The sequence below is a fragment of the Homo sapiens genome, chromosome 16, assembly GCF_000001405.40.
Source record: "Homo sapiens chromosome 16, GRCh38.p14 Primary Assembly".
Lineage (NCBI taxonomy): Eukaryota > Metazoa > Chordata > Mammalia > Primates > Hominidae > Homo > Homo sapiens.
In genome coordinates, this window is record NC_000016.10 from 72,649,037 (window position 1) to 72,666,879 (window position 17,843).

At 38.7% G+C, this 17,843-nt stretch overlaps 2 long non-coding RNA genes across 8 annotated transcripts in view, besides 3 other annotated features; one reads left to right on the forward strand and one right to left on the reverse strand.

The window, feature by feature from the left end:
• LINC01572 (long intergenic non-protein coding RNA 1572) overlaps window positions 1-15,934 on the reverse strand; it is a 384,069-nt gene extending 368,135 nt beyond the window's left edge. For all 4 annotated transcript variants that reach the window (NR_126330.2, NR_159371.1, NR_159372.1 and 1 more), the window contains exon 1: window positions 15,856-15,934. This is a non-coding gene — a long non-coding RNA (long intergenic non-protein coding RNA 1572). The remainder of the gene's footprint in view (window positions 1-15,855) is intronic.
• Window positions 8,727-8,786: an enhancer, noted in NCBI's record as "active region_11098". NCBI's record gives its function as "activates an Ori minimal core promoter by ATAC-STARR-seq in GM12878 lymphoblastoid cells {active_cell/tissue: GM12878}" and the evidence as "EXISTENCE:reporter gene assay evidence [ECO:0000049][PMID:35858748]".
• Window positions 15,676-15,795: an enhancer, noted in NCBI's record as "active region_11099". NCBI's record gives its function as "activates an Ori minimal core promoter by ATAC-STARR-seq in GM12878 lymphoblastoid cells {active_cell/tissue: GM12878}" and the evidence as "EXISTENCE:reporter gene assay evidence [ECO:0000049][PMID:35858748]".
• Window positions 15,836-15,895: an enhancer, noted in NCBI's record as "active region_11100". NCBI's record gives its function as "activates an Ori minimal core promoter by ATAC-STARR-seq in GM12878 lymphoblastoid cells {active_cell/tissue: GM12878}" and the evidence as "EXISTENCE:reporter gene assay evidence [ECO:0000049][PMID:35858748]".
• Window positions 16,097-17,843, forward strand: part of ZFHX3-AS1 (ZFHX3 antisense RNA 1) — a 156,522-nt gene continuing 154,775 nt past the window's right edge. For all 4 annotated transcript variants that reach the window (NR_171702.1, NR_171703.1, NR_171704.1 and 1 more), the window contains exon 1: window positions 16,097-16,297. This is a non-coding gene — a long non-coding RNA (ZFHX3 antisense RNA 1). The remainder of the gene's footprint in view (window positions 16,298-17,843) is intronic.

The window sequence follows — 17,843 nt, forward strand, 5'->3', positions numbered from 1 at the left end:
GGAATAGAAAAAGGACATGAAGTAAAAACTAAGGAAATCTGAATAAAATACGGACCTTAGTTAATAATAATGAACCAATGAAGGTTCATTAATTGTAACAAATATACCATACTTACATAAGATGTTAATAGTAGGTGAAACTGCTGTGGGTATATGAGAACTGTCGAACTCTTGGCAGTTTTTTTTTTTAATCTGAAACTTCTAAAATTAAAAGTTTATTGGAAAAAACATATGGTCCCAAAACACTCCTCTTATTGAGAGATGAAGTCTATGGCCCCTCATCTTAAAACTGGGCAGCTTTGTGACTGTTGAGTTACAGTGACAGAAGTGATGCAATGAAACTAGATAATAAATGCCATGCAGCTTCCAACTGGTGCTCATATGGCTCTCACCTGTGGAATGCTCTCTCTTGCCACTGAATCAACAGGCAAAGAAAGGGTTATTCTACTAAGTTGGATGACTCTTCTTGACTACCAGGAGAAACTGAGCTACTTAAACAGGATGGGAATAAGGAAAGGTACGCCAGGAATACAGTGGATCCAGGAAGAACCTATGAGCACTGCTATGTCCTAAGTTAACATACCCCTCCCCCTACAAACAGCTCAATATAGACAGGACTACTACCAGACCAAATCCTGTAGGAAGGTCTAAGTCATCCCACCAAAAAAGAAACCACAGTGCACACAGGTACTTGCTGAGGGCAAAGGGAAACTGAGACTGGCAGTAGAAAGTAGTTATAAATACTGGCTACAACCACATGATAAGTTAAGTAAGTGAGGGCTGTAATAGCTATGAGCATAATTTTTTTGATATGAACACATTTGCGCATGTATCTGACTTTATTTTTGTTCTCTCTCTCATCCCAAAACCGTCTAAAATAAGACTAAACATTTTTTTTTCCCCAAAATCAGAAATAAGGCAAAGATGTAGCCTCTCATCTCTATGAAACATTACACTGGCAGTTCGAGACAGTGCCACAAAACAAAAAATAAATTAAAGGCATACATATCTGAAAGAGAGAAGTAAAACATCACAGAAGTTATTGTTAACACAGAAAATTCTAAAAATAAAAAGTTAATAGTGCATTCAGGAAAGTCATAAAATTTTAGATTAATATACAAAAATTTTAAAAATTAGCAAAAGAAAAAGAATAAAATTTACAGTGTTATCAAGAAATATAAACTACTTATATATATTTTGAATTTACAAATAAATTTAACAAAATATGTACAAGACCTGTAAATGGAAAACTATAAAACATTTCTGAGAGAATTTAAAAATGATACAAATAGGGCTGGGCGAGGTGGCTCACGCCTGTAATCCCAGCACTTTAGGAGGCTGAGGCAGGTGGGTCACAAGGTCAGGAGATCGAAACCATCCTGGCTAACATGGTAAAACCCCATCTCTACTAAAAATACAAAAAATTAGCCGGGCGTGGTGGCGGGCACCTGTAGTCCCAGCTACTCAGGAAGCTGAGGCAGGAGAATGGCATGAACCTGGGAGGTGGTGGTTTCAGTGAGCCAAGATCGTGCCACTGCACTCCAGCCTGGGCAACAGAGCGAGACTCCACCTCAAAAAAAAAAAAAAAAAAAAAAAAGAGACAAATGAAAAGAGATACCATGTTCATAGATTGGAAGAATCATATTTCTTACTGGGAAAAGCAACAATTTATTGGTCTAATACAGATTCAGTAAAATCTCAAAGAGGTTTCCAGCAAGCCTTTTGTAAAAAATGACCAGCTGACTCTAATATTTAAAAAGGCCAACAACTGCAGATTTTTTTTTTTTTTATACAGGATCTCACTCTGTTGCCCAGGTTGGAGTGCAGTGGCATAATCATAGCTCATTGCAGCCTCAACCTCCAGGGCTCAAGCGGTCCTCCTGCCTCAGCCTCCCAAGTAGCTGGGAACACAGGTACAAGCCACTGTGCCCTGCTAATTTTTGTATTTTTTGTAGAGACAGGGTTTTGCCATGTTGCCCAGGCTGGTCTCAAACTCCTGGGCTCAAGAGATCCACCCTCCTCAGCCTCCTCAAGTTTTAGGATTATAGGTGTGAGCCACCACACCTGGCCAAGATGTCTTTTAAAGGTAGCAAAAGCTAGAGGTGTGACACTACCAGATATTAAGACTTAGACTTATTATACCTAATTGCAAAACAGTATATTATAAGCATAAAGGACATATAAATCAGCAGAACAGATTAATCAGTCCAGAAATAAAACAACATACATAAGATTGATTTTCAACAAAGGTGTCAAAATAATTCAGAACCTCCTTTAGCATTGTTTATATTGAAGACCTGCAGGCAGAAAATTCTTAGCTTTTATTTATCTAAAAACTCTTTTTACTTGACCTTCATTTTCAAAAGATATTTTTGCTGAATAGAGAATTCAGGTATATTGGGATTTTTTTATTATTTATTTATTTATTTATTTATTTTGAGACAGAGTCTTACTCTGTTGCCCAGGCTGGAGTGAAGTGGCGCCATCTGGGCTCACTACAAGCTCCGCCTCCTGGGTTCAGGCCATTCTCCTGCCTCAGCCTCTCAAGTAGCTGGGACTACAGGAGTGCACCACCACACCTGGCTAATTTTGTATTTTTAGTTTCTTAATCTGTAAATTTATGCCTTTCACCTAATTTGGTACTTTTTTTTTTTTTTTTGAGATGGAGTTTCGCTCTTGTTGCCCAGGATGGAGTGCAATGGTGCGATCTCGGCTCACCACGACCTCCGCTTCCCGGGTTCAAGCGATTCTCCTGCCTCAGCCTCCTGAGTAGCTGGGATTACAGGCACGCACCACCATGCCTGGCTAATTTTGTATTTTTAGTAGAGAAGGGGTTTCTCCATGTTGGTCAGGGTGATCTCTAACTCCCAACCTCAGGTGATCAGCCCGCCTTGGCCTCCCAAAGTGCTGAGATTACTGGCATGAGCCAACGCGCCCAGCAATTTAGTAAGTTTTCATTCATATGTCTTCAATTTATTTATTTATTTATTTTTGCTCCCTTTCTCTACCTCTATTTCTGGGACTCCAACTAGATGTATATTAGACATCTTGCTACTGTCCCACATGTAAATGAGTCTCTTCATTTTTCATTCTTTATCTCTCTTGTCTTCAGATTGTATAATTTCTATTAGTCTGTCTCCAAGTTCACTAACTCTTCTGTTATTCCAATCTGTTTTTAAGCCCATCTATTTTTTTATTTTCTATTTGAGGTACCCTATTTTTATTTGAGTACCATATTTTTCAATTCTAGAATTCTTTTAACAGTTTCTACTTCTCTGGTGAGATTCCTCATTTTTAATTTATTACAAGAATATTTCCCCTTTACATTGTTGAACATATTTATGACATTTGCTTTAAAATTCTTGCCTACTAAATCAATATCTCTTAGGGTCAGCTTCCATTGATTGCCTTTTCTCTTGTGTATAGATCACATTTTACTGTTTCTTTAGGTGTCTCATTATTTTTGACAGTATTATGGACATGTTGATGTGCTGTGGAGATTCTGAATTATGTTGTGTTCCTGTGAAGAATGTTGACATTTTTGTTTTAACAAGGAGTTAATTTGGCTGAAGTAGAAAACCCAGTTGTCTTTCCTATGATGGATTTCAGTTGAAAGCTCTGTTCACATATTTTAGCTTTAGGTGAATTGCTTGAAAACTGTCTAATGGAAATCTATTTCAGGGGTCAGGTGAAGAGAAGGGAGAGACTATAAACAGAATCCCTCTCTGTGAATCTGTCATTTTCCTACTCACTTTCTAGCTGTGGGGGTTAGCCCAAATCCTGCCCTCTGTATGTTCAGGTTAGTAAGTCTGTTAATATTCTATTTAAGTTACAGCTGTCTAATGTAGTGTCTACTGGGGTAAAAAAAAAAAAAGTTACCATAAGAATGGGAAATTCACCCATTTCCAAGAGGATATTCTTCCAGTTTCTGCTTGCTTTTGGTTGTTCTCCATTGTATTCAAGTAGTTAAGTTTATATTTTGTTGACAGATTACAGTTGTTAGCACAGAAGAGTTGTTCAAATAGGTGATACTCTCTTGTTATCAGAAGCAATAATAATCTCATTAGGAAAGGTAAAAATAGTGCCGGGAGACCTAGATATCCACATGGAAAAAATTAATCTTCCCACACATGAAACTCAACACAAAATGGATCATAAACTAACATAAAATCTGAATCTGGCTGGGTGCGGTGGCACACACCTGTAATCCCAGCACTTTGGGGGGCCGAGGCAGGTGGATCACCTGAGGTCAGGAGTTCGAGACCAGCCTGGCCAACATGGTGAAACCTCGTCTCTACTAAAAATATAAAAATTAACCGGGCATGGTGGTGGGCACCTGTAATCCCAGCTACTCGGGAGGCTGAGGCAGGAGAATTTATTGAACCTGGGAGGTGGAGGTTGCGGTGAGCCGAGATCGCGCCACTGCACTCCAGCCTGGGTGACAGAGTGAGACTCCATCTCAATGAAAAAAAAAAAAGCTAAATCTACAAAACAGAGGAAGAAAATCTTTGTGACCTTGTGGTAGGCAAAGTTTCTTAGATAGGAGACAACACATAAAAATAAACAGCACATTATCAAAATTAAAACTTTTGCTCTTGAAAAGATATCATTAAGAAAATGAAAAGGTAAGCTTCAGATTGGGAGAAGATAATCTGAACATACATAATTGGCAAAGAACTTTTATACAGAACACAAAAAGAACTTTTATACCTCAATAAAAAGACAAACCCATCTAAAAATTGGAAAAATATGAAAACAGACATATCATGAAAGAAGATACCTGAATACACAATAAGCTTATAAAAAGATATTCAACATCATTAGCCATCAGTAAAGTGCAAATTAAAATCACAGTGAGATAGCAACGAACGCCCTTTACAGTGGCTAAAATTAAAACGATTGACAGTTCCAACGATGTGGAGAAATTGCAACTTTCATACATTCCTGAAAATGATATAAAATACTACAACTACGTTGGAAAACAGTTTGGCAGTTTCTTACAAAGTTGAACATAAAATGATTGTATGATTCAGCAATTCCATCTCCTAAGTATTTTCCCAAAGACTGTAAACAAGTGTTCACAGCAGTTTTATTCATAATTGCTCCAAACTGGAAATAACTCAAATGTCAAACAATAAATGAATAGATAAACAAACTGTAATCTATAGATAGACCTAGGTATAAAGAAATATCATAATACTGATACACAGAAAAATATTAGTAAATATCAAAAACAATACTATGAAAAAGAAGCTGGATGCAAAATAGTACACACTGTTTAGTTTCATTTACATTACATTAGAGAAAGGTCCAAATTAATCTATAAAATCAAAAAGCACATTAATGATTGCCTAGGGTTGAGGGATAAGGGATAGAAAATGACTGAAGATAGGACAAGAGAACTTACTGGGATAAAGAGTGAGAAGGGGAAAACAAGCTGTATCTAAAAAGATACTGACCAAGAATTTTAACAAAGCTGGTAAAAGATAAAAAACCATGGATTCAACTCACTAAAGGATAAACAATATATATATATTGGAAAAAAATATATGTATAGGCCTATCATTAAAACTACTGAAAATCAAAGACAAAGGGAAAACTTTCAAAGAAGCCAAGGAGGCAAGTTCTCTTTATTATTTTATCAGACAAAAATAAGTCTGATAGCTAACTTCTCAACAGAAATGATAGAAGCCAAATGACAATGGAATTACATCCTCAAAGGGATATGCCAATCCATAAACAGCAAAAATACCCTTCATCAATGACAGTGAAATAAAGACTTTTCTTCAGGCATAAAAAAGAATTTGTCATCAACAAATCCACATTAAAATAAATATTAAAGTGCATTATTCAGGCAGAAGGGAAATAATCCCACCAAGGGAAGCTAGAAGACACAGAAAGGAATGAAGAGCCACAAAAACGGTAAATCTAAGCAATTATTGGCTGTATAAAATAATAATATTAATGTCTAAAGGCACCAAAAATAGAGAATTAAAATGCACAGTAGCAAAAAACAAGTGTGAATAAATGAACATAAAATATTATAAGGTGTGTACTTTTTTTTTTTTTTTTTGAGACAGAGTCTTGCTCTCTGGCTCAGGATGGAGTGCAATGACACGATCTTGGCTCACTGCAACCTCTGCCTCCGAGGTTCAAGCAATTCTCCTGCCTTAGCCGCCTGAGTAGCTAGGATTACAGATGCACGCCACCACGCTCAGCTAATTTTTTGTATTTTAGTAGAGATAGTGTTTCACTGTGTTGCCCAGGCTGGTCTTGAACTCCTAAGCTCAGGCAAACCACCCACCTCAGCCTCCTGAAGTGCTAGGATTACAGGCATGAGCCACTGCACCCTGCCTACATTTTTTTTTTTTTTTTGAGAGGGAGTCTTGCTCTGTCGCCCAGACTGGAATGCAGTGGCACGATCTTGGCTCACTACAACCTCCACCTCCCGGGTTCAAGCAGTTTCTCATGCCTCTGCCTCCCAAGTTGCTGGGATTACAGGTGCACGCCACCACAAACAGCTAATTTTGTATTTTTAGTAGAGATGGGGTTTCACCACGTTGGCCAGGCTGGTCTTGAACTCCTGACCTCAGGTGATCCACCCGCCTCGGCCTCCCAAAGTGCTGGGATTAAACACAAATATATCCGTGATGATGTTAAGAGGTCTAACTGCAGGCATCTCATTTCTAACCACTGGACTCTTAAGGACCCCAAGACCTTATCTCTTGAGGCTATATGACTTTAAAACCCAAGCCTCTTGAACAGTGAGACCTATAACTCTTTCCTATCAGCAGTTTTATGAGCCTACAGCTCCCTGATTGTTTCTAGACCCTAGGGATTTCCCTTATTTTTTTAATGCCTCATATGCTATATATAGGTGTTTGTAAGGAATAGCATTTTTGGTTGTCTTTTTCTCCATATTGCAGGAACAAGAAAACTTATCTTTATTTCCTGAAAAAATAAAACTGTGGGTTTAAAACATTTGAGGATATACTTTTTAAGTTAAAAAAACTATTTCCAATCCATCTTTTTTTTTTTTTTTTTTTTTTTTTGAGACGGAGTCTCTTTTTGTCACCCAGGTTAGAGTGCATTGGCACGATCTGGGCTCACTGCAACCCTGCCTCAGTTCAAGCAATTCTCTTGCCTCAGCCTTCTGAGTAGCTGCGACTACAGGCATGCCCCACCATGCCTGGCTAATTTTTTTTGTTTTTGGTAGAGACGGAGTTTCACCATGTTGGCCAGGCTGGTCTCTAACTCCTGACCTCAAGTGATCCACCCGCCTCGGCCTCCCTAAGTGCTAGGATGACAGGCATGAGCCACTGCGTCCAGCCTCTAATCCATTTTTTAAGTGAGAACAAAACTAATAAAATGTAGTAAATGAGTTATTATCTTCATAGAATAACTGAGAAATCACATTTTTATTTCTATAGCAGCTACAAGATACTTGTTGCATAAGTTCAACTTCAGAACATGTAATTAAAATATCTACACTGACTCTTCCATTATCCAACAGGTCTAAATTCGGAATCTCATATGCTTGTTAATCAGTACTATTTGATGCCTGAATTCTTGTTTTCCTTATTCTCTTGAGACAGGGTGATTTTTTTTTCTTTGAGGTGTTAAATTTTGAGGTAGGGGGGTTGGGGGATAGATAAGTCAAGTTTCTAGCAACCTCAATTCCTCATCTCTAAAAGGGAGATAATAGTACCTAGCACAGAGTGTGGCAAAAGAATCAAATGAGGTAACAGTAAGTTCCAATAAGTGTTAGCTGTTGCTATTATTCCTATTTATTATCTTTTCCCAGCAATGATCATTACTTTTGAGAGTATGTCTTAGCAATGGTAACTGTTTTTGAGAGTAAGGTCAAATGCTTGGCATGAGCCACTCTGAGGAATGGGTAAGTCGTACCTTGAGGATCACACATAGTAACAAAGGAAACTCCTATAGGGTATGTCTGCCATATGCTGGCTCTACTCTACCAGAGAAACAGGTAGGCAGACAATAACGGATGCTGGCAAGGATGTAGAGAAAGGGGAACCCTCACACACTGTTGGTAGGAAAGTAAATTAGCATAGCTGCTATGGAAAACAGTATGGAGGTTGCCAAAAAACTTAAAATAGAATTACCATATGATTTAGCAATTCCGTTACTGGGTATACATCCAAAAGAAAGGAAATCAATATATCAGAGAGATATGCAGTTCCATGTTTACTGCAGCACTATTCACAATAGACAAGGTATGGAATCAACCTAACTGTCCATCAATGGATGAATGGATAAAGAAAATGTGATATATATACACAATGGAATATTATTCAGCCATCAAAAGGAATGAAATCCTGTCATTTGCAGCAACATAGATGAAACTGGAGGCCATTATGTTAAGTGAAATAAGCAAAACACCAAAAGACAAGTATCTCATGTTCTCACTCATATGTGGGAGCTTAAAAAGTGAATCTCATGAAAATAGTGAATACATTGCTGGTTACCAGAGGCCAGGAAGGGAAGGAGGGAGGGGCAAATGAAGAGGAAAAAGAAAATATAAACATATATATTACCCCTGGGCTGTACACTTAAAAATGGTAAAGATGGTAAATTATATATGTGTATTTTACTTCAATAACAAATGATTTTTAAAAATCATGTTGTATACCTTAAAAAAATAAATAAATAAAAACAAGTCTTATTCCTTTCTTCCCCAAAGCTGTCACCAACTACTCTTGGTACTTCTATTTCTTGAGTACTGACTACAGAATAGGGACACACATCCCCCAATGTTGTATTTTGTTCTTTATGCCCCACCAAGCAAGCCTAGCAGTCATTTTCATTTTAAGTGTTTTATTACTAATTGCTACAGGGAACTAGGTAGTGCCTAGTGAAGAAGGTATGTTTCCTGGGGTTGTGGTAACAAATTGAAACAAAATAGGTGGTTTGAAACAGAAACTTAACTCTCAGGGTTCTGGAGACTAGAAATCTGAAATTAAGGTGCAGATAGATTTCAGCACAGCTGTGCTCCCTCTGATGTGTCTGGGGCTCCCTCTGATGTGTCTGGGGAAGAATCCTTCCTACCCTCTCCCTAGCTTCTGGTGCAGAATTGCAGGTGATTCTTTGTTCCTTGGCTTGCAGCTGCACAACTACAACTTCTGCCTCTGTCATCACATGACCTCTTTCCCTGTGTGTGTGTATGTCTAGGTCTCTGTATCCAAATTTCCCTCTCCCTTCTCTTTTCTGGTTTTTTTTTTTTTTTTTGGTGTTGTTGTTGTTTGTTTTGTTTTGTTTTGTTTTGTTTTTTGACAGAGTGTAACTCTTTTGCCCAGGCTGGAGTGCAGTGGCACAATCACAACTCATTGCAGCCTCAAACTCCTGGGCTCAAGCTACCCTCCCACTTCAGCCTCCAGAGTAGCTGGGACACCTGGTTATTTTTTTGTTGTTGTTATTTATTTTTAGTAGAGATGATGATGTCCCGCTATGTTGCCCAGGTTAATCTCAAACTCTTCAGCTCAAGCAATCCTCCTGCCTCAACTTCCCAAAGTGCTGGGATTACAGGTGTGAGCCACTGTGACTGGCCTCCTTTCTCTTATAAAGAAACCAGTCACTGAATTAGGGTCACATTCACAAATACTAGGGGTTAGGACTTGAATATACCTTTTTGAGGGACACAATTCAACCCACCAGAGAGAATGTCTTTAAATTTAAGAAGCTATTAAAAGTTCTTATAATCCCTGTCCATGTTCTGTAGGTCTGGGTTTTTGGAAATCCCTTGAGCTTCCTTTGTCCCTCATAGATCTCTGGGTAATGCTTTTTAAATGATCCTAGACTCCCGAACTCACAGCTCCTAAAAAGCCCTCTGTACAGAAGTTTCTCTTCCCGGGAAACAGGCTTGATGGTATAGTTAGAATAAATTTCTGTCCTCCTTGAGGACATGGATCAAAGCTTCATAATTCCTTGATACTAGAATGGGGTCTGATATCAATAACATTTTTTATGAACTAGAAATCATTCAAGTACCTCCTTGTTTCAGCTGTGTAATCTGTTTCTTGGGGGATTTCCTGACTAGGTGATTACCTTAAAACAGAGCTCCCATGCCATGTAAGAATGATCTCCTTAAGGTTTTTCCTCACACTCCACATCCTTACTGTTTCCTCCCTCTGAGACTATTTTATATCGTTCAAAAATCTCCTAGAAGGCATTGATTTGACTTCTGAGAGTAATAACACTTTGCAAAATATGCATTAGTGAAATTGCTTCCAGGTCATCATACTTTACATTTTTGCTTGGTGTAATATACCCAAAGGAAACCACAACTACTTTAAAAGAAGTTACATGATTATGACTTCATGTATGCAAATCAGGCCTCCCCTAACATCCTTTCTTCAGTTGGTTCTTGTCTGCCCTTGGTTCTACTTGTTTTTTTTCTTTTCTTCTGTTACTATGGCAGAACAGATAAAGAGTCTTACTCTGTCGCCCAGGCTGGAGTGCAGTGGCGCAATCATAGCTCATTGCAGCATCAACCTCCTAGGCTCAAACCATCCTCCCATCTCAGCCTCCAGAGTAGCTGGGACCACAGGCATCCGCCACTGCACCTGGCTGATTTTTTAAATTGTTTGTAGACATGGTCTCCTAATGTTGCCCAGACTGGTCTCAAACTCCTGGGCTCAAAGGATCCTCTGCTTTGGCCTTAGGAAGTGCTGGGATTACAGGCATGAGACACCACGCTCAGCCTCAGTTCTACATTTGATGTTGCTACTCTTGTAAGTGAAAAATCTTTATCTTGATGGTTTATCCCTTCCATGGGATAAATCATCTACTATCATTTTGCTGTGTCCTGCAAATATTCTTATAAAATTATTTGAAATATTCTAAAAATAAAAATAACTTCTGTATATCTATCACGCAGTTTAATAAAACACTACCAGTATAGTTGAAACATTCTATGAACACTTCCTTAATAACATTCCCCCTCTCTTTCCCCCACCGACACCAGGTACATGTACCATAAATTATCACCACAGCTAATTACCACCTGGAAGCTGATGTTTATGATCCCCATGCATTTTTGATACCTTTACTAAACTATATACTATTCTACATATTTCTAAATGCTAATTCTGTATTATATCTGTTACAGATTCTTCTGCAATGTTTTTCCCCTCTAACTATGATTGTGAGATATATCATATTGATACATACTGTTTGGCTTCATTATTTTAATAGCATCACTTTCATTTTAAGAATATACAACCATTTTTATCATTCTTCTACTGATGGACATTTAGTTTCCATGTTTCTACTATTACAAACATTGCTTTTTGAACAGCCCCTTAGATCACAACTAGAGTTATTTTTCTCTTTTTCACAACAGCTTTATTGAGATATAACTTATATATCATAAAATTCACCCTTTAAAGTGTACGATTCATAGTTTTGAGAGTATTCATAAAGCTGTGCAACCACCACAACTATCTAATTCCAGACTATTTGCATCATCTCAAAAAGAAACTCTATACTCATTAGCAGTAATTTTCCATTCTCCCCTGCCCTGGCCCCTATCAACCATTAATCTACTTTCTATCTCTATGGATTTGCCTATTTTGGAAATTTTTTATAAATAAAATCATACAATATATGACCTTTTGTGACTGGCTTCTTTCACTTAACATGTTTCCAAGGTTCAGCCATGTTGTAGATGTACATTAATTTGATTGTGGTGATGGTTTCATGGGTACATGTCAAAACTTATCAAAGTATACACTTTAAAAATATGAAATTTGTTGTACGTAAATTGTACCTCAATAAAACTACCAAATAAAATAGGCAAAACAGGTCAGGCATGGTAACTCAAACGCCTGTAATCCCAGCACTTTGAGAGGCCAAAGCAGGTGGATCCCCAAGGTCAGGAGTTCGAGACCAGCCTGGCCAATGTGGTGAAACCATGTCTCTACTAAAAATACAAAAATTAGCTGGGCATGGTGGCGTGCGCCTGTAATCCTAGCTACTCGTGAGACTTAGGTGGGAGAACTGCTTGAACCCAGGAGGAGGAGGCTGCAGTGAGCTGAGATCGCACCACTGCACTCCAGCCTGGGCAACAGAGTGAGACTGCATCTCAAAAAAAAAAAAAAAAAAAAAAGGGCAAAACATTTTTATAGATGCTTCACAAAAGACGTTCAGATAACAAGTGGATGAATGACTGACTACTCTATTTCATTAAGCATCAGAGAAATATAACTTAAAATTACAATGAGACATCAGTACAGACCCAGAGCAATAGTTTAAAAAATTTAAACTACTAACTACTATAAACCCCAAGGGCTGATATGACTGTTGAATAACTGGAACTGCCATATGCAGCTGATGGGAATGCAAAATGGGACAGCCACTTTTGAAAAAGGTTTTAAAGTATTTTATGAAATTAAGGCTGAGCATGGTGCCTCACACCTATAATCCCAACATTTTGGGAGGCTGAGGTGGAAGGATTGCTTGAGGCAGGAGGTTAAGACCAGGAGGTTAAGTCCAGCCTGGACAACATAGCAAGACCTTTTTTCTACCAAACATTACAAATTAGCTAGGCCTGGTGACATGCTCCTGTAGTCCCAGCTACTTGAAAAGGCTGAGGCCCAGGAATTCGAGGTTATGGTGAGCCATATCCTACCTCAAAAACAAAACAAAACAAAACAAAACAAAAATAGAGAGGAAAAAAAAAAGCAAAGAGCAAGCAAGCAAGCAAGAAATTAAAATCTTTGGCCACACAAACACCTGTAGCCAAATGTTTATAGCAGCTTTATTACTAACAGCCAAAACCTGGAAACAACTCAAAGCCCATTAACTGCTGAATGGATAAACAAACTGGTAATACATATAATGGAATACTACTCACACATTAAAAGAAAAAATTAGTGATACATGCAAGAACATAGATGAATCTTGAAAGTATTATATCAAGTGAAAGAAGCCAGACACTACCAGCTCATACTATGTGATTCCACTAACATGATGCCTCCAAACACAAACCTATAGCAGTAGATATCAGATCAAGGGTTGCTAGGGACCAATGGTGAGGATAGAAAATCGATAATAAGTGCATGAGACTTTACAGACTTACAGATATACTAAAAATGATTGTGATAGTTCACAACTCTTCACATTTGTCCAAACTCATAGAACAGTATTCCTTAAAAGAGTCAACTTTACCATATGCAAATTATGACTAAATATGCCCGACTTTGTTTTTTCAAAAGTGAGGGTGAGGTGGGATGGGGTTGGGGGAGACATTATATACAGGAGAACAAAGATAAGAATGACACCAAATATCTAAAAACAACAGCCAGAGGACAATAGAATATTAAAGTGCTAAAAAAAGTCAACCTACAATTATATATCCAGTTTAAAAATAAATCTTTCAAAAATGAAAGTTAAATAAAAACATTTTCTAAGAAACAAACACTGACAGAATCCTTCACCTACATGCAGTATTAAATAAATGAAGTTATTCAAACTGAAGGAAAATTATGAAAATATGGATCTACATAGATGGATGTATTCTATCAAACACTTAACAATGCAATGCCAATCTTATACAAACTTTTTCAAGAAGTAAAGAATACAACACATCCCAGATCACTTAAAGATGTCAGACACCATTACCCTAATTCTAAAACCAGACAATCAAAATAAAGCAAAACTGAAGACCAATCTCCCCAAAATGGCAACCGAACAGTGAAAAAAAATTTAGTTAAAGCCATTCCTCACATCATATATAAAAGCAAATTTCAGGTAAGCTAATGTTCTCATGTGAAAGATAATGCCTGAGATGGTTAGGAAGAAGATTATGAGATTATATTCAGGTATATGCTGGTAGAATTCACCATAAAATTATTTTAATATAAAACATCCAAAAAATTAAGGCACACAAACTATTTTCACTCTTCATGTTGATCAAGAATTTTCCTATTTCTTGTTAATTCAAAAAGACTCTGGATGCAATACCTTGTGAACTTATTTTTTGGTATGCCCCTGTGCTCATATACTACCTTACTACCTTTATCTCTCTGTTTTTTGTTTGTTTGTTTTGGAGATAGGCACGATCATTGGCCACTGCAGCCTGGAATTCCCCGGCCCAAGTGATCCTCCCACCTCAGCCTCCTGAGTAGCTGGGAGCAAGGCGAACACCACCACGGCTGGCTAATTTTAAAATTTTTTTGTAGAGATGGGGTCCGACTATCGTCTTGAACTCCTGGGTTGGTCTCGAACTCCTGGGCTGAAGCAGTCTTTCCACCTCAGCCTCCCAAAGTGTTGGTTGGGATTACAGGCGTGGACCGCCACACTTAGAAATGACTTTTCTAATATCCTTAAATCAGAGCTCATGTAAAATTTTCAGCCTTCTCATTCCACCTCCCTCCGAACTACAAGTCTTAAAACTAAGAAATGACAGCCATTCGGTAGAAGTTAAAACACTGTTTCGCTGCTTATTTCTACTTAAAAAAATTATATACATAGATATATATTATGTAAATATATATAATTATATATATAGACATACGTGTGTGTATATATATAAATAAACGTGTAGAATTGGACTGGGGTCCCACTAATATCCACATTTCAAAACAGAATCTAAAACTCCCTAAAACAGGGTTGGGCTCGGCGGCTCACGCTTGTAATCCCAACCCTTTGGGAGGCTGACACTGGAGATCAGTCTGAGCAACAAAGTCAGATCTCTTTTCTACTAAAACAAAATACAACTCTCTAAAACTAATACAAAATTTTGTGTGTATGTGTCATATTCTGGAGAAAAGCTCCAAGGTTTTCCTCTGGGTCTTAAACAGGACTAAGACCCCCCACCCCCAAAAGAATCTCTGTTCTAGAGGCTAAGCATATAGAAGCTCATACTGCATTATCAAACTGGAAAGTTAATAGAGGATTTTCATGGTCATATACAGGAGAGGTGGGGAAAGCTGTCTATTTAGACTGTAAACTCCTAAAATGTTCATAAATCTCAATGGAAATTAAATCCACCGGGGTGGGAGAAGTATCACAATAGACAAAGAAGCTAAAGGTTAATGAAGAGAAGGTTTTAATCAGTGGTTACTTTTGTGCTTGGGATCAATCCTCAGTTTGTCCTCCAACGTAACTTTTGGCATTATTCATTTCAAAGTCTGAACAGTATCCATAAACCCAATACGAAACCTATGGATCCAGAGGGTCCGACCGAAAACAAAACAATTATGTTTCCGATGTGAACGCATCAATAGCTTACTTTTGTAGCGCTTTATAAAACGCTGTCACTTGCTGCTTTCCACGTCATGATATTCCCGGTCGGGAAGAGTAGGACAGCAGCATCTTTTATGAATAAGGAATTTTTTGGATTCAATTTGTGAGGTGTGGGACGCTCACCAGGTTGCGCGAAAACCATTTTTCTACATCGTCAAGTGCACGCACCCCGTGTCTCATAGTATTAGTGATGAAGACGAGGATGAAACTACCAAAGACATCAGTGGGGAGTGAATTATACTTGGGGGAGGTGTAAGCACGTCGAAATAAGGAAGCTGAGAGACATTTTGTGAAAGAGGGAAGGTAGCGTTAAGAGGAGCCTTCCATCAGGGGCAACAGAACGGGGGCAGGCGTGGCGTCTCTGGGACTGCCGGAAAACGACGTGAGGGAAAAACTCAGAGGCTACGAAAAGGCGAACAGACGGAGGGCCTGCCTCAGGGGAGCTAAGCAGCTCGCCTGAAGCCCCCCATCTGGAAATGACGTGTTTAACTCGGCGCCCCTGCAGCTCCGGCCGCCCTTTTTTGTTTAACTCCGCGCCCCTCCAGCTCCGGCCGCCCTTTTCGTCGCTCTCCCCTCGCGGTCGCTCACCCCTGAGATCCCTGGTTCCACTGAGACGCTCAGCTTCATTCGGCAACTCGCGGACACCAAGCGCCACAAATTCAAATACGAGATCTAGAGACGCTGGGTCTCAAACGTCTCCCAGAGTGAAAGACAGAGGAACCAATCGAGGCTCGGCTGACCTCAGACGTCTAAGGCGATAGGCGTTGCTAAGAAAAGGGGGTGGGACGATACCCAGTTGCCAAGACGACGGCTTCCGGGTGGGCGGCTTGAGGTGGCTTCCGGCCGCCAGGCGAGACTCCGCGGGAAAACTCCCTGCTAGAGAGACTAGGAGATTTGGGGCTGCGGCCGTTTCCTCCGGAGCACCCACGGGACTGTGTGCTGGGGTCCCTCCACCGGCTGTGTCCTTTATTCTTCTTTCTCACCCAACGATTTACCTGAACGGTTATAAAGTGCACGTTATTTCCCTAAGGTAAGCGTGTGGTAGCGCCTCCTCCTCCTCCAACAGGGGGGTAACAGAAACCTGCTGTCAACTTTGTTACCCAACATAACTGTACTTAACCACAAAAAGTTGAAATTTTGGATCTTTAAACATTCAATAACCTCTTGCTGTGTGAGGTTTTTTAACTGCACTACATACATTTTGTAGTCTTTAACCATTGAATGCGATTTAAGTTTACAATGAAATTTAACGTTCTGGTTGTTTCTGACCCCAAATTTCATCTGAACCAGTTAATGGACGAAGAACTGAAATTTTATTTTCTGTGACAGTCTCATAGGTTCTCAGACTTAAGTTCTTAATCGCCCATAAATCTGAAGGCAGGTGTTAAAGATGAGCAGGTGATTTGAGCCCAGTCCATGCCAACACTCAAACTAATTCAGCTGAGACTCCTTTCGTTAGGAGCATTATTTTAATTTTAAAAATTTTAAACCGAATGGTAAGCATGGCTGCTTTAGTTTCAGTTGTGTCTCATTTGATGATGATAGTCCCACACAAGACGATCTCATTTGTCAATGAAAGTAAACATTAGTGACCACACAGCTTTCTGCAGATAACTCTTTAAACGAACATCTTTTATCAGACCACAGAAATCATTGTTATTGTCACTAAAATGTAAAAACTAAAGCAAAACTTATCTGCTTATCAACAATTTCTTCCTCCATAGCTAAGGTAGGGAAGCATTTATGAAAGCTTAGATCTATATGTGTTTGGGATCCTGCCAACCCCTTTCTTAAAATTCCATCTTCAAAACTCCCTGCTAATGAGCACTTTTCCAACAGCTTGGATGAAACATTCTGAATAATTCGTCAGCCTGAAGGTTAGAAATTTCATTAAATAAAAAATTAAATACACAGAATACTTAAGTATGAAACATTAATGAACTGAGTAATACATTCTTAAGAAGAGGAGGCACTTAGGAAAACACAGGCCACCTGCATTGTGGAGCCATTTAATGTGATGAGATTTGATAAATGGGTAAGAGATCAAAAAATGCCCAGGGTTTCAAAAGAGAATGTTCCATGAGCAGCTTACTGCCTACATAGACCATTTGAAAATCAAACCAACTCAGCAGAAGCCCAAGAGGCCTTCAGATGAACCCGAGTATCCTTTGGATGTCAGTGTTGTACTGAACAAAGTCAGTTGAACTGTTATTTATCTGACAAGAAAAAAAAATGCCTAAATTTTGTAAGGACTTACACCATTCATTTAAAAATATATAGTGATCTTAGAGGTTAGAAAGCACAGAAAAGAAACTTGAACATAGAGGTACTTAAAAGGAGAAAAATAAATTTCCTCCGGTAGTAGACATGTATTTGGCATTGTTCACTGTTATCTCCTTGATGTCCTCTCTCCTCAGCTTGGCTGAATCCTACTTACGCTTTTAAGACCCAGGTCAAATTGTGAATCTTTTGTGACCTAGTCCATAGTCACCTCTCTCCCTCCTGAATGCCTATAATAGTCTTTATTTGGCATTTTTTTGTATTCTTTATAATGTTTCTTATTTATGTTTATGAAT